At 41.1% G+C, this 17,019-nt stretch overlaps 1 protein-coding gene across 34 annotated transcripts in view, besides 1 other annotated feature; it reads right to left on the bottom strand.

Moving 5' to 3' along the window:
• The window catches only part of ATP9B (ATPase phospholipid transporting 9B (putative)), a 308,890-nt gene that overhangs the window by 209,238 nt on the left and 82,633 nt on the right, over window positions 1-17,019 (bottom strand). For 32 of the 34 annotated variants that reach the window (NR_148360.2, XM_017025726.2, XM_011525963.3 and 29 more), the window contains one exon: window positions 14,491-14,542. Coding sequence is in view for 32 of the 34 variants with exons in the window: in XM_017025726.2 (XP_016881215.1) it covers window positions 14,491-14,542 (52 nt within the window). In the remaining 2 variants the exon portion in view is untranslated. Of the gene's footprint in view, window positions 1-1,230; window positions 13,288-14,490; window positions 14,543-17,019 lie in introns of those variants that run through there. The other 2 variants (XM_011525974.3, XM_011525971.3) reach the window with 2 other exon arrangements.
• Window positions 12,024-12,293: an enhancer, noted in NCBI's record as "active region_13536". NCBI's record gives its function as "activates an Ori minimal core promoter by ATAC-STARR-seq in GM12878 lymphoblastoid cells {active_cell/tissue: GM12878}" and the evidence as "EXISTENCE:reporter gene assay evidence [ECO:0000049][PMID:35858748]".

Genomic DNA, 17,019 nt, shown 5'->3' with positions numbered 1-17,019 from the left:
CGCTGCCTCCACAAATATGCTGCCTCTGCAAGCATGATGCTCTTTTCTGTCACGAACCTCAAAGGCCAAAGGACCAAGATCAGAGAGAACAATGGGGGCTGGAGAGGAGAAGAGAGAAGGACAGGGATAATGTGGCAAGGAGAAGAATGAGGCATGGAAGAGATTTAATACAAGCACACACTGGGTGCTTGGCTCATTGAGAAAATACCTCCCAAAGACTGTCAGGGGAGAAACAGACATAGCACTCCTAATTAAGGAAGGAGTAATGGAATTTATTCCATACTGTACTCCAGACTTGCCCACAGCTACCCCTTCTTCAAAAAATGTATGGAGTTATACATGTCTACTGGGAAGTCACTTCTTTCTCCCCCAAAAAGGGGAAGGTTACTGACATTTACTAAGCATCTACTTATGAAGTGCCAGTCATGGCCTATCTGCAATATCTGATGTCCTGTGAGACAGAAGGAAAAACTGTCCCTATTTTAGGCTCAGAGGTAAAGTACCCCAAGGTCTCCCAAGTGAGTGAAGAGTGCCATGATTAGGTCCATCTAACTCCAAACCCATTATACAAGAACACATAGCTCAGCCCTCCACCTCAGCACTTCAACCAAGAGTTGACTTCCTGAACAGTTGCAACTACAATACACAAATGTAAAAAAAAAAAAAACAAAATCAAAAACAAAACTTATTTGGGTTGTTTGTTGTTATACTCATTTGTTTATTTTTATAGTCACTGGCTGAACTCTAGGAAATCTATCCCCCCGCAGGATGCAGCCACGGACCCCCTGCTCAGACTCTGCAGTCGCCAGGCTGAAATGCCACCACCAAGTCTCCTTCTATTTTTCTTGGCTTTCCGGAGGTTGCTCCTGGCTCCACGTAAACCACTTTCTGGTCAATGTGATGGCAGCAGTGGCGCCTCTGGAGTGGCGGCTGCGAAGACTGCAATGAGGGAGGTGTGCCTAGGGCTGCATGCTCCATGGAGCTGGCAGGATCCCCATCCCCTTCCGAGTTGGCAGGTATGCATGTGCTCAGGGCAGTGCTGACATGCCTGGCACTCTGCCGGCTTGGCCCTCTCCAGACTTTGGGCGCCAACAAGCACGGGAGGGTGGCTCGGGGCAGGCCTGCAGGCAACCTTGGGACAAACAGCCTGGGAACCATACATGGCATGTTGATGGTGGGAGTCCCACAAGTTCCTGGGCAAAAATTGGCAGGTCCCCTGTGAAACCCTACCTTCAAGCCAGGAACAACCTGAAGCCTCGGGGCCGGGCTGCCAGTTCCCAGTGAGGTCCACTGCCGGAAGTGAGGACTTCATTGATGACCATACAGCCAATCGGATAGTGCTTTTTCTAGGCCCGCCCATGGCTGCCCATGGACCAATCAGCATGCGCTTCCTCCCTTCTAAGTTCATAAAAAAAGCGAGTTTCGGCCAGACTCACACAGAAATTGGGACTACCAGCTGTGGGAAGGAGCTACCCACTCCGGGTCCCCTCTACTCTGAGGGCTGCACACTCCACAAGCCAACCTGCCTGCGGAGAAAAGCTACCCACTCCAGGTCCCCTGTCCGCTGAGGGCTGCACACTCAACAGAACGACCTGCCTGCTGATAGGAGCTACCTACTCCGGGTCTCCTCTCCACTGAGAGCTGCAATCATCGGGACCACCTGCCTGTGGAGAGGAGCTACCCACTTAGCGTCTCCTGAGAGCTGTACTGTCGCTCAATAAACCACCTCTTTGCCTTGCTTACCCTCTAGTTGTCCATATACCTTGTTCTTCCTGGATGCCGGACAAGAACTTGAGACCAGCTCAATGGTGGGAATGAAAGAGCTGTAGCACAAACAGGGCAGAAACACGCCCTGCCATTCGCCTTATTGCAAGCAATGAGAAGGAGAGAAGATCTGTGGCTCTTCAGAGAGCCCAGACTTAACAGCTCACCGAGCCAGGGCTGTGACATCCTCTTTGGGGATCTGCGGTTCCTAGCGTCTCCAAGCCTCCTAGGGCCACGTTTCCTGGTGCCCACAGTGGAAGTCGCTTATGGAACGCCTGATTTGGCCACAGCCTCACACAGAGCCGGCACCTGGAGCTGCCTGCCCTGCCACAGCCAGCATGCCTGGCTGTGTGCAGTGGCCAGATCCCACGCTCGCTCACACACACCTTGCCACTCTGTTCTGGGCTCACCCTCGGCAGGCGTGGGATCCGGGCCGGCAGCACAAGCTAAGCAAAGCCTGCTGGGCCAAGGAGGCAGAATGAGCCCAGCAGGCCTAAGCAAAACTTGGACAAAGGCTCCACGGGCCATAGAGGTTTGTGGCTGGAAAAGCAACACCCCAAAGATCCTGTGACAAAAGGTGGTGCTCAGGCTGGCTTAGCTAGTTGGACTTCCAAGCTTCATCACTGGCTGTGTGTGGCTTAGAGACCTCTCACAATTCAGGGATTTCACGACTTTGCCCGTGTTCAGTCAGGGATGGGTGGCTTGGAGGTCTTCTCCATTGACTCCTGAGACCATCATCTTGGGCAAAAACCATCTTCCAGGCTGACAGGGAGGCCTGTGATGTCATGTGTAAGCTCAGCATTGTAGGACTCACCTTGGGGACAGAGGACCATGCATCATTTGGCCAGCTCAGAGGTTGTAGGTAAGCCCCTTGGGTCAGTGGGCTCTGGCATCATGCAGGGCTGTTATCTCCCAGGGAGTCCTTTCACATTTGCTCCGAGTCCCATTGCAGCTGCTTCTGAGAGCGCCTAGCACATGCTCACAGTCTCCTGGCTCCAGGATAGGCTGGATCTAGGACTCTCCATGAAGCTTCTGACTGGGTTGCTGTTTCTGCCCTCTGAAATGGTGGCCACCAAGCTCTCCAGTGTTCTCAACGACATCCTCAGAAATGAACTCTGCCAGGCTATTTTTCAAACAAAGTCTGTAGGGAAGGCTGCAGACATCTCAGCACTTAGGACCTGTCTCTCACCCTGGGCAGAACCTCTGGAGTATGGCATTGGAGCTGGGGACAGGACAGCAGCCAGCTCTACCAGGAGGGATACTCAGGTCATCAAGTGGGCACTGGGGATGGGGTTGTGGTGTAGCCCCTCCAGCACTGTCACCTCTGCCTTACAAGCTGCTGGGGCTGGAACTCACTGGGATACAATGCTCAGGAGCCCAGGTAGAGTCTAGAATATAGTCCACTTTAAGTTACTTTATGTTAGTGCCCTAGGCCAAGCCTGTCAGGAATTGGGCTTCGGCAACATGAGTCTGGGGAAAATAAGAACCATGGCCAGCCCCTCCTGGGTGGGGCTGCAGCCATAGCCTAGGAAGTGCAGGAAGACAGAGCCCCTGACTTTTTGGCTGCATGGGCTTAGAGTAGAGCTTCCTGCACATGGAGCTGGGGTAGAGAGGAAGATAACAGGCCATGGCTCAATTTCTGCAGACTCAGTCTGTTCTCACTGAGAAAGAAGGTCTCGAAAAATATTAAAACAAGTATTCCTAAAGGTAAATAACTGAACAAGTAAGGTTAATTTTAGAGATTCTCTTCAATGGATGAAAAGCCCTCCATAGGTTTTCAACTAGGGACAATTTACATTTGGCAACTTCTAGAGACACTGTTGGTTTTCACAACTGGAAAGGAAGTTAGGAGAATGCTACTGGCTTCTGGTGGAATGAGGACAAGAATATTCTCAACACCCAACAGTGCAGAAGACAGACCTGCCCACCACAGCAGAGACATATTGGGCCCAAAGCACCAACAGTGCTAGGTAGAGGTGAGAATGCCTGCTCTGGAGGCTTCCATCCCAAACTGGCATAACAGAGTAGGCAGAGCCAGACAGTCAGAAGCTGAACACCAGCCCTGTAACTGACTACTCAATGCTCCCTTTCAAATAACTTGACCTTGTTAGACCTCAGTTTTTTAATCTGTATAAGACTTACCCTGGAGTTATGTTGTAAAATTCAGGGAAAATACGTGAAAGCCTGTCATGAGTGTCATATACTGGGAACTCGTATCATGGTAGCTAGTTGTTTCTCAAATTTGGAGAAATCATTAAAGTAGATTATGTAAGAACAGATCTTCACATGGCTTAGTCCAGCCCACCCTTTCCACAGAACATTCTACAACTAAAATGTCCATGCAAATCCACATCCATAATACCCTCATTTCCCCCTCTGAACCTCCTAAAAGTATTTCCACATGCTACTGAGCATTCTTGTGGTCTCTTACTCTACACAAATATTAAATGCTTTTCTCTCCTAGCTGATGCATTTTCAACTAATTATAGCTTCTAGCAACTCAGTGCCTAAATCTGCCCTATCTATGTAACTACCTCACCAATTTTATTTTATTTTATTTTTTGAGATGGAGTCTCGCTCTGTCACCCAGCCTGGAGTGCAGTGGCGCGATCTCAGCTCACTGCAAACTCCACCTCCCGGGTTCACACCATTCTCCTGCCGCAGCCTCCTGAGTAGCTGGGACTACAGGCGCCCGCCACCATGTCTGGCTAATTTTTTTTTTGTATTTTTAGTAGAGACGGGGTTTCACCATGTTAGCCAGGATGGTCCCGATCTCCTGACCTCGTGATCCGCCTGCCTCGGCCTCCCAAAGTGCTGGGATTACAGGCATGAGCCACCATGCCCAGTCACCAATTTTATTTTTAATCCTTTTAAGTACCCTGTAATATGGGAATTATCATTGTTAAAATGGAATCTGGGAAATACAGAGACATGAACCCACCTGTCTAAGGCACAAAAAGATCAAGAGCCATGAAAAGATTCTCCAGTTATTGGCGTTATCAATTAAAGTATATCTGAGACAATGTCATCTGATTACATATACTTTAAAAAATATAGGGCTGGGCACAGTGACTCACGTCTGTAACCTCAACTCTTTAGGAGACCAAGACGTGAGAATGGCTTGGACCCAGAAGTGCAAGACCAGCTTGGGCAACACGAGAAAACCCCATCTCTACAAAAACTAAAAAATAAAAAATTAGTGGGGCATGGTAGCAAGCACCTGTAGTCCCAGCTACTCGGGAAACTGAGGTGGAAGGATCACTTGAGCCCAGGAGTTCGAGACTGCAGTGAGCTATGATTAAGCCACAGCACTCTAGCCTGGGACAGTGCGAGACCTTTTCTGTCTCTGTCTGTCTGTCTGTCTCTGTCTCCCCCTGTGTGTGTGTGTGTGTGTGTGTGTGTGTGTGTGTGTATAAAATAAAATATGAAAATAAAATATAAAAATATTAAAACAACTATTCCTAAAGGTAAATAACTAAACAATTGAGGTTAATTTTAGAGATTTTAGAGACATATATTATATTATACACGCATATATATATACACACACGCATACATATATTTAAATAAACCGTTAGGGGTTATTTGTCAAAAGAATTATAAAAAAATATATTGCACGAGCTCACTGGTTTCAACTAAGAAGCAGTACAAGAAAGGTTGCAGTGCATATTATTTTAAAGTTACAGTTTTTTTCTAGATTGAATTTCCCCCTTTATATATGGGTGAATGTTCTGATATAAAATATTAAAGTAACGTAAAATGGACTAAATTCTAGACTCTATCTGACACATCTGTGAGATGTCAATGCCATTCACTCTACTCTAGATTTTCTATTACATAAAGAAAAAAACAAGTGAGAATCTCTGGAGTCTCATAAATTTCCTGTATTCTGTGTTTCTAAAAGTGAAACAAATATCTAAATTTCTGTAAACTTATTAAACACTGAAAAAATAGCTGACTTTGTTTAAAGAAAAAAGCCATGCCTCATGTTAAATCATATGCTATTTTTTAAACTTAGAGAAAAACAACGTTATTACTTTTACTCAAGTTAAGTACAGTTAAAAATACTAACCTTTCAATAACTGAGGTGATTTAAAGAGAGAAAGAATGAACTCTAGCAAATCAGAAAGATGGCCAGCTTGACTTATTTCACAAGAACTGCATCTAATAATTTTTTAACAGAAAGCACTCGCTAAAACTGACGCCAGTTAAGGCTCAGCAAAAAATGTATTACTAAGTTGGCCTGCTTATATCCTATTACAGACTGCTTATGAATACTTGATTTTATTTTATACAACTGACAAGAGTCAACAGGCTTAATGACAATTAAGATCAACTCGTGTATGTGTCACATAGGAGGGTGCATCAAGTGTGCTGAAGAAACTGACAGGACACCGTCGGAGCACGAGTCTGTCATATCGCATAATAAGTTACCCTGTAATATTAGTAGACTTCCTACAACAGCTCACAAATCCAACAGCTCTGAAAGAGATCGGCTAGGGTATACGGCCAACAAAAGAAAGATAGGCATTGACTTTGCATTTATAATACCAGATTGTCTGCCATTAAACTTAATTTTTAAATCATTCATACGATTTAATGACTCTGCATGAAATTTTCAAGCTGGTAGCAAGACGAATAGCACTACAGAGACCATGTGGATGAGTACAGTGTCATTTAACCACCACCCCGTCCCACTAACAAGTGACAGACAGCTGAGGTACTATAATATGTCCCAAACACTTAAAGTATAATGTCATCACTTAGGAGACAAGTGAAAAAGATATTGACATTTATAAGAGATTGATGAAAATTAGTTCTAAAGCATTAATTTCTCTTAATACCACTAAAAGAATTGTGTGCACTCTGGAGATATTTGATCTGAATTAAGAAAGTGATGAAGTAATTGATTAATTGGAATTTAAGCCATCAGTCACCAGATCCATCAGCAGCTTCATTTACATTCTAAACAATCAGCTCACAGCCCAACAGAATATTCTGTGTTAATACACAGTCAATACGATGCCATGAGCAACCCACCATGCTGTACTGACAAGCACCCAGCTGCCAGTGTTCAAGCTGGGATATGCTGCATATATTAACACTTAGGACTTCCATCATACCTAAGATTTAAAATATTGTAATTATAATAAACAGTGTATTATCAGATTTTTTCAAACTGAAACTAAAAAGCAATAAAATAGTATTAAAACTGTTAGTAGATACAAAAATTCAGTACATTTGTAGTCTACTGAAAACAACTAGGCAATAAGATAACTTTAATTACTTAAAAATCACATAAACAGAATTTCTAAAGCTAAGAATTCTTGATTGAAAGCAATATTATAACACAAATTTTATATAGCTTGAAAGCTATTTGGTCTATTTTATAAGAAGAAAAATAGCATGAAAAAACAATCTGACTTCTTTTTTTTTGAGACGGAGTCTCGCTCTGTCACCCAGGCTGGAGTGCAGTGGTGCGAACTCGGCTCACTGCAAGCTCCGCCTCCCGGGTTCACGCCATTCTCCTGCCTCAGCCTCCCAAGTACCTGGGACTATAGGCGCCCGCCACCACGCCGGCAAATTTTTTGTATTTTTCTAGAGATGGCGTTTCACCATGTTAGCCAGGATGGTCTCGATCTCCTGACCTCGTGATCCACCCATCTCGGCCTCCCAAAGTGCTGGGATTACAAGCGTGAGCCACCGTGCCCAGCCCTGACTTCTTAATATCTGCATTTGAGTAACTATTATTTTAACAATTTAAATTTGACAGAAAAAATAAAACTGAGGATGAAAATAGAAGCATAGATTAAAACAAACTACAGCAGGGCCCTAACTTGAACCCATCAATAATCCTCCAGGGATATGCAAACAATAAAAAATCCAGCATGCCTGTGCAGTGTATACATTTTTCTGAGGAAAGAGGTGATAATTCTTAAGATTCTCAAAGGGATCCACGACCTTCAAAATATTATTACTCCACTATGAAGAGTGATTCTCCCTACAACATGGAATGTAAGACAAAATTAGAGAGAAATGTTTTAAAACATCATCAATTTGAAAGTGTTATTTATCCAAGGTTAACACAATAGATTATCTCATTTGAGTCATGTTCTAATATTCCATTTACGTTTTTCTGTCTTACTATGGCTTAAAAATGATGCAGTGAAACATTAAGAGGCTGAGGAAGAATTTCCAAAATTGCTATTAGTGGCCGGGCTCAGTGGTTTACACCTATAACCCCAGCACTTTGGGAGGCCAAGGCAGGTGGATCGCTTGAGGTCAGAAGTACAAGACCAGCCTGGCCAACGTGGTAAAACCCCATCTCTACTAAAAATACAAAAATCAGCCAGGAGTGGTGGCGTGCCTGGAGTCCCAGCTACTCAGGAGGCTGAGGCAGGAGAATCGCTGGAACCCAGGAGGCAGAGGTTGCAGTGAGCCGAGATCGCGCCACTGCACTCCAGCCTGGGTGACAAAGCGAGACCTCCTCCAAAAAGAGAAAAAACAAACAAACAAACAAACAAACACAAACAAACCCATAAAATTGCTAATAGTCATATAATGTTAAGCAAGGTATTTACATTCTCCAGCCCTCAGATTCCTCTTCTGAAAAGTGGACATTTCTAAACACCTTTCAGCTTTAAAGTGCTTGACTTTGTTCATAATTTATCTTCTAACACAATCTATATAATCTTTTCCACTTAATTAATTACCCAAAACTGTTTTCATATTTGGAATAGTATCTTCCACATATTTCTATCACAACTGTTAAAAGGGCAATTAATACAATAGCATCTCCCAAATTAAAGCATTTTGTTATTCATTACACTGGATACACATTTGTAAAACAGGACAAATAAATCATAAATAAGTAGGTGAAGTAAGCAGGGATGGCAGTATAAAAACCTCTGAAAATATACTTCTGTGTAACTGCAATGAGAAGACTAGTGAAAATTGCCAAAAGCAACTGTTTCAGAACTCTGGAAAATAACCGGACTTGAAAGAATTCCAGGAGCATTTATTCAACAAAAACACTAAACCTAGCTAAGAGTGAGCTGTGTTAGTTAAAATCCCTGCGGCAATCACTAACAAAATAGTTTTTTAAGTACATTATAATAGAAATGATGGGGAATTAAAACACCACATTAGAAAATATTTAAAACAAAAGAAGGCAGTAATGGAGCAACAAAGACACAAAAATATCACAAGACACACAGAACACAAACAGCAAAATTGCAGATGTAAATTCTGCCTTATCAGTAATTACATTAAATAGAAATGGATTAAAGGCTCCAATCAACAGGCAGAGATCGATGGAACCTTTTGAGTGTGCCACCTACCTCCCATCAGGCTCTGGTGTATAATCAGATGATATAAAGCCATGAATGAAGTTACAGTTTCCCAGGAAGAACATGTACATCACAAATGTAGGTGTGCTTAGGACAGAATCCTGAGAAACACCATTTAAATTTCACAGAGAAAGGGGATGTAGGGTGAGGTCATGACGAAAAACATCTCATTCAAAAGGTTTGGCTGCAAAGCAAAGGACAGAGACGGGATGGTAGCTAGATAGGTGTGCTGGGTCACTGGGGGTTGGGGGTGGTCTTTGGTGACTGGGTAGAGACACGTTTCAACGCCTATAGGAAGAAGGCAATGGAGCTGTAGCTGAAAGTGGCGGGGTTGAGGGGAGGGTTGATGGCTAAGAGTTAATGAACAGGTGGTAAAGGCAGACAGGAGAAACACTGAGAAAGCTGGAATAAGCTGCCTTCAGGAATGGGCCTAGTCAACGGGAACACTGTGGGTTACACAGTGAACTCTACTGATTCACAGAGCTGCAGTCAGATGCTTGTGTGGCCTTCTGAGTTGGAACTCTACAGCCAGGTATGAGAGAAGAGACACTGGAGAGACTGATGTAGGGCTGTAAAGCTGATCAGGCAGGGTAACAGGGCAAAGGGAGCTCATCTGGATGGGGAGAATAATAATAATTAGCAAGTGTACATACCTGCTAAGATTTTAAATGGATACATTTTGCTGGATGTGAATTTTCCTAACTAAAGCTGATTTTTTAAACAAGCAGATTGACAGAATGAATGAAAAATCATGATGCAATTACATGCTGTCTACAAGACACACACTTCGTGTTCAAAGACACAAATAGGTAGAAAGTATGACAACAGAAAAAAGGTGCAAACAGTAACCAAAAGAGAGGTGCATGGCTGAAGACAGTTTATAATGATAAAAGGGCCAATCTGCCAAGCAAACATAAATATATTACATCTAACAGCAGAACTTCAAATACATGAATCAAAATCTGACAGAATAGAAGGAAAAACAGAGAAATAGTGACAAACTTCAGTACTCCACATTCAATAATGGATAGGACAACTAGATAGAAGATGAACAAAAAAAGAAGATTTGAACAATGCTGCAGACCTAGAACAAAATCTATGGAACATTCCACTCAACAGGAGCAGAATGTAGATTTTCCTCAAGTGCATACAGAATATTCTCAAGGATACCCAGTATGTTAGGACATTTTTCACAAATGTGAATAAACTTCAAAGGATAGAAATCATATAAAGTATGTTCTCCAACTACAATGGAATGAAATTAGAAATCAATAACAGAAGGAAATTTAGAAAATGTATAAATATGAGGAAATTCATATTCATTAATAAACAATGAATCAGGCCAGATAAGGTGGCTCACACCTGTAATCCCAGTGCTTTGGGAGGCTAAGGTGGGAGGATCACGTGAGGCCAGGTGGTCAAGACCAGCCTGGGCAACACAGCAACAGACACAGCCTGTCTCTACAACAAAATTTAAAAATTACCCAGGTGTGGTGGTGTATGCCTGTATTGCTAGCTACCTGGGAGGCTGAGGCAAGAGAACTGCTTGAGCCCAGGGGTTCAAAGTTACAGTGATCATCATAGTGAACTATAATCATGTCACTGCACTCCAGCCTGGGTAACAAAGCAAGACCCTGTCTCTACAAAAATAAAATAAAAATAAAAATAAAAACTAAAAATAAATAAGCAATGAATCAAAGAAGATATCACAAGGGAAATTAGAAAATAATTTTGAGATGTATGGCCAAACCTCATGAAATACAGCAAAAGCAGTACTTAGATGGAAATTTGTAGTTATGAACACCTGTACTAAAAAAGACCCTCAAGTAAATAATCTAACTTTCCACCTTAAACTACAAAAAGAAGACTAAACTGAACAGAAAATAAGTGGAAGGAAGAAAACAATAAAAACAGAAACCAATAAATGAAATAAAGAACAGAAAAACAAGTGAGAAAAATCATTAAAACCAAAAGCTGGTTATTTTAAAAGATCAACAAGATTGACAAACCTTTAAGCTAGACTGACCAAGAAAAAAAGAGAGAAGAGTTCAATTACTAAAATCAGGAACAAAGGAGGTTACATTACTACCAACCTGACAGAAATAAAAAGGACTGTAAGGAAATCCTAAAAACAACTGCACGGCCGCAGATTAGATAACCTAGATAAAGTGGATTAGATAACCTAGATAAAGTGGACAAATTATGAAAAAGACACAAACTACCAAAACTGACTTGGAAAGAAATAGATAATCTGAATAATCCTGTAACAAGTAAAGAAACTGAATTAGTAATTTTTTAAAAATCAGAGTAAAGTCCAGTCCCACAGGGTTTCATGGGCGAATTCTATCAAACGCTTAACAAAGAATTAATAATAATTCTTCACAAACTCTTCCAAAACATAGAAGAAAGAACACTTCTTAACTCATTCCACTAAGGCCAGTATTACCCTGACACCAAAACAAAAATAACACAAGAAAAAGCAAAACCAAAACTATAAGTCAATACATGTTTTTTTTTTTTTTTTTTTTTTTTTTTTGAGATGGAGTTTCACTCTCGTCACCCAGCCTGGAGTGCATTAGCACAATCTCGGCTCACTGCAACCTATGCCTCCCAGGTTCAAGTGATTCTCCTGCCTCAGTGTCCTGAGTAGCTAGAATTATAGGCCTGTGCCACCATGACTGGCTAGTGTGTGTGTGTGTGTGTGTGTGTGTGTGTGTGTGTGTGTATTTTTTTTAGTAGAGACGGGGTTTTGCCATGTTGGCAAGGCTAGTCTCAAACTCCTGACCTCAAGTGATCCACCCACCTCAGCCTCCCAAAGTGCTGGGACTACAGGTGTGAGCCACCACGCCCAGTCCAATACATCCTTTAAAAACAGATGCAAAAAAAGCCTTAACAAAACAGTCGCAAATCAAACCCAGCAACACACAGAAGGACTACACGCCCATGATCAAAGGTTATGTATTCTGGCCTCTGTCTGTGGTTGAGGAGATGAGCCTTTCCGGGGACTGGAGGGCCTGCAGACTTCTCCCACGCAGCAGTCTGTGCTGTGAAGCAATGCACTATGAGATGAGTCATTCACATGTGACAAACTATGAAGGCAGCCTACCCACTGGACTGCAAAAGCACCTAAATGGTCTCATTACATTATTGTTAAGAAGAGCAGAATTACTTGAAAAAAGATCACATTATACTCCAATATTGGCAAATGATGGCTTCAAAATATAAGCAGTAACACTTCAAAAGCAAATAATGCCACTTGCAAAGAGAATTAGTAAGAAGGCTTCCAGAATGAAGAGCAATTAGGATGAGAAATCAGTTAAGGAAACACCAGCTATCATAAAAGATTAACCTTGCAAACGGAACTGCTTAACAATAGTTTATATAGAGTCCATTTGATAATGGAAGGGGAGGGGCTCTGTTCCATACATTCATTCAGGACACCAGGCTGACGGAAGCTTTGGCATCTTTAACAAGCAGTTTCCAAGACTGCCCTAGTCATGGCCATCTAACCAGCAAGGCGGAAGAGATGAGCAGGTGCCTGCAGGAGAGGTTAGGCGCAGGGCTAGATGTGGCATACAGACTTTTGGCTCTCCCTCTTTGGCCAGAGTTCAGTGACATGGGACCAGCTAACTAGGCAGGAAAGGGAGTCCAGCTGTGTTTCCAAGAGGAAAGAGAAATGGGCTGGAAGTAGCCAGCCAGTCCCTGCCACAGTTGGGAAAATAAAAGCTCACATGAAACAACACATAATAAACGTATCAAGTATACAGAAGTCACTTGATTATTGGGTAGAGCTGATCTCCCGTTAATGGCAGAATTCATCTCACAATGTAAGTAACCATGTAACTACAACTGGTAGAAAGAGAAAACATTTGGCCGGGTGCAGTGACTCACGTCTGTAATCCCAGCACTTTGGGAGGCCGAGGTGGGTGGATCACAAGGTCAGGAGATCGAGACCATCCTGGCTAACATGGTGAAACCCCGTCTCTACTAAAAATACAAAAAATTAGCCGGGCATGGTGGTGGGCGCCTGTAGTCCCAGCTACCCGGGAGGCTGAGGCAGGGGAGTGGCATGAACCCAGGAGGCGGAGCTTGCAGTGAGCGGAGATCGCACCACTGCACTCCAGCCTGGGCGACAGAGCGAGACTCCATCTCAAAAAAAAAAAAAAAAAAAAAAAAAAAGAGAGAAAACATGTTTCTTCTTTGACAAAAATGTCCCTTCTAAAAGTATGTTGTTTATAAATACAGAAAAATTAAATCAACAACTCTGAAATCTAACAGTCCTTTCTACAGTTTTCACATTAGAAATAAGATATATGATGAGTTTTTAATAAAAATAATAACATGCTTAGCTTCCTATAAAAACTACTGTTCATTTATAAATAACGTCAGGAATGTAGGGCAGAAAGAAACTCTGCATATTACTTGATATACCTCTCTCGTTTCAGAGATGATGAAAACGTGTGCCCACTTGGCAAGGTCACATAACTAGAAATGGGCCAAAGTGATTTAAACTCAGGTTTCCCAATTTCCAACAGATTTTCTATTTGGCGACACTAGGCTTCTATCCAATTACCTCTTTTCCATCTTAGTATTTTTGAAAGCTCAGGTCATATAAACAGCATTTTTTCTGCAAAGTCTGCATCAACTCAATAGGCAAAATTATCTGTTCCCACATAGCCCCAAACATTTCTGAGTACAGTACCTATACAGTTAGGATTATTGCTGTCAATGTATGCACTTCCACCAAGACTATAAACTCTTTGAAAGTTGCTCCCTTTTGTATCTTAAGCAACAATTAGTGCCTGGTACATATTAATAATAAGTGGTAAATAAGTATTTGCTGAATCGCTGAATAAAACTGCAAATGCAAAATAGCCATCAAATTTTAAGTAACATCATCATTTAATTAGATGTCAGTATGAATCTGAATGAAAACACTCATTGGATACCTAGGTCCTGAAAGGATTATTTTTAAACAAATATATTTCACAGCAAACACCCTTTTAAATATTGACAATTAAATATAATTTAGATGTTAATGAATTCAATATACTGTCATTCAAAGAAAATTTTTATAGGATGCTTTTTACTTTTACCTTTTAAAGTGAAAATTAAACTATGAAAATACTAAATCATCAGCAATGTAACTGCAGCATGTGTTTTTACTTTGTAAAGTAGCTTCATATGAAAATGTGGACTCTCTTTTCAGAGGTTTCATGTGTTTACATTCAAAGTAAAATAGCATTTCTACAGAATATTCCTCATTGCTGCAGCATACTAAAAATGTAAGGAAAACAGTTTTTCCTTGTATAGATATTTGTAAATTTGTTTTTGCAATAATATACAGTTAGGTAAGTTTTTTTAAATGTAAAAATACCTGCTTTTTCTGAAGTCCTAAGAAACACCATGTCCGATGGAATTCTTTGATTCTGCAAAGAGCATTATAAAAGATTAATTATCTATATGCAGGTTTACAAATTAACACAATTCCATTCCAAATAAGAAATACCTATGAAAACAACTAAGATAATATAATTAAAATTGTGCTGAAATAACTAACACAATTTGTATATAAAAAATTGATATTTTAATTCACATTTTAATTGAAATGCTAAGATTTTTTTCCCCATAAGTGAGCCATATAATGGTATGTAGTAGTGACTTCAAAAATGCTTCATGTCCGGTGGCTCACGCCTGTAATTCCAGCACCTTGGGAGGCCGAGGCAGGCGGATCATGAGGTCATGAGATCGAGACCATTCTGGCTGACATGGTGAAACCTTGTCTCTACTAAAAAAAAAAAAATGCAAAAAATTAGCTGGGCGTGGTGGCAGGCACCTGTAGTCCCAGCTACAGGCTGAGGCAGGAGAATGGCGTGAACCCGGGAGGCAGAGCTTGTAGTGAGTGGAGATTGTGCCACTGCACTCCAGCCTGGGTGACAGAGCGAGACTCCATCTCAAAAAAAAAAAAAAAAAAAGCTGCATGTCAGCCAGCCATGGTGGCTCACCCCTGTAATCCCAGTACTTTGGAAGGCCAACACGGGAGGATCACTTGAGGACAGGAGTTTGAGACCAGACGAGGCAACATGGCAAAGCTCCACCTCTACAAAAAGTTTAAAAAGCAGCCAGTGTGGTGGCATGCCTGTGGTCTCAGCTACTAGGGAGGCTGAGGGCTGAGGATGGCTTGAGCCAGGAGGGTCAAGGCAGCAGTGAGCCATGTTCATGCCACTGCACTTCAGCCTGGCAAGCAGAGGGAGACCCTGTTTCAAAAAAAAAAAAAAAGCTTTATGTCTGAAAAAAACGTTAAATATTGCCATTTCTGTGGCCTCTGTTAGTCTGTACATGTAACACAGCAGGTATTGCCTTATAAAAAATTATGTCCTCCCTATTAGACTAAATGGCCCTGGAAAGTGAGGAGGACTGTGGTCCTGCAATGCCCACAAAACAGAGCACATCATACACAAAACACTTAATAGATGTGAAAGAATAAATCTATGACTGAACAAGCCAACAAGCAAAACCCCACAGATTTGAGGAGATATTCTTTCATGACACAGAAAAACTCAAAGACATTTTATGGCATATAAAAACTCTAACAAGTCACTATTCATACATTTAATTATTATCACTAATAGTTCTATCAACTGGGAAAGCTATATCAGTCTAAAGAAAAAATATATAATTGTATTAAGAATACGTCACATAATGTCATGAATTATGTATGATTTTTGAGACCTAAGTAAAGACTTATCTACCCATGGTAAATAAATGGATAATAAATGGTAAATGGATTGTCAGTCAACAGGTAACATGTTAAAGCTGAAGAAAGCTATGTTATTGGATAGAGCTATTTCTTTCTAACACTAGGGGAAAAAAACTAATATTAGCATGAAACCAATAAAAGATGTGCAAGACCTCTACATAAAAAACTATAAAATATCGTTGAGAGAAATTAAATGTGAGGATTAACTGTACAACCTAATAAAACTAGATTAAACTAGAGTAGTTAAGAAAAGATGAGATTACACCAAGATAGACGATTATACCAATACAAAGCTAGATGTCCAAAAATAGGTCCACATATATAGGGACACTATGAGAAAGATGAAACTGCCAATCAGTGAGGAAATAATTGTGTTTTCAATCAATAGCGCTGAGAAAACCCAGTACCGTCAGGGGATGATGGGAGACGACACCTGACCTCGACTTCAATGTAAACACAAAAATCTATCTAGAATTACAGCTCTAAATGTGAAAGCCAAAACAATAAAATGCCTAAAAGAGAAAAAAAAAGTTCTTTCCCCACTGAATTGTCGTCATTCATCAAACATGACAAGAATATTTTCATGACTTTTTGAGAGGTAAGGATGCTTAATAAAGACCATCAACAAAAATTGTCTTAAAAAACTAACCTTAAATGAAGATTAATAGCAGATTTCATTAAACTTAAGAATTTCTGTTCAACACAGCCTGCCAGGAAAGAAGATATCTGCAACGCATATATAACTAACAAAAGACTCCAAACCAGAGTACATAAAAGCCCACAAACTGATAAGAAAGGAAAGAATAACTCAGAAGAGAAATGCCAAGAGATTTTAGCAGGCTTGTCATATAAAAGACAGACACACACAAAATCATATGAAAAAGTATTGAATCTTATTAGACTTCATAGAAATATGCATTAAAACCACTTCTACTAATTTACACTCCCACCAACAGTGTAAAAGCGTTCCTATTTCTCCACATCCTCTCCAGCATCTGTTGTTTCCTGACTTTTTAATGATTGCCATTCTAACTGGCGTGAGATGGTGTCTCATTGTGGTTTTAATTTGCTTTTCTCTAATGACCAATGATGATGAGCTTTTTTTCATGTTTGTTGGCTGCATAAATGTCTTCTTTTGAGAAGCGT

This window comes from Homo sapiens, chromosome 18 (genome assembly GCF_000001405.40).
Source record: "Homo sapiens chromosome 18, GRCh38.p14 Primary Assembly".
Taxonomy (NCBI): domain Eukaryota; kingdom Metazoa; phylum Chordata; class Mammalia; order Primates; family Hominidae; genus Homo; species Homo sapiens.
The sequence above is the reverse complement of the archived record's forward strand: the minus strand, read 5'-3'. Positions and strand labels throughout refer to the sequence as shown.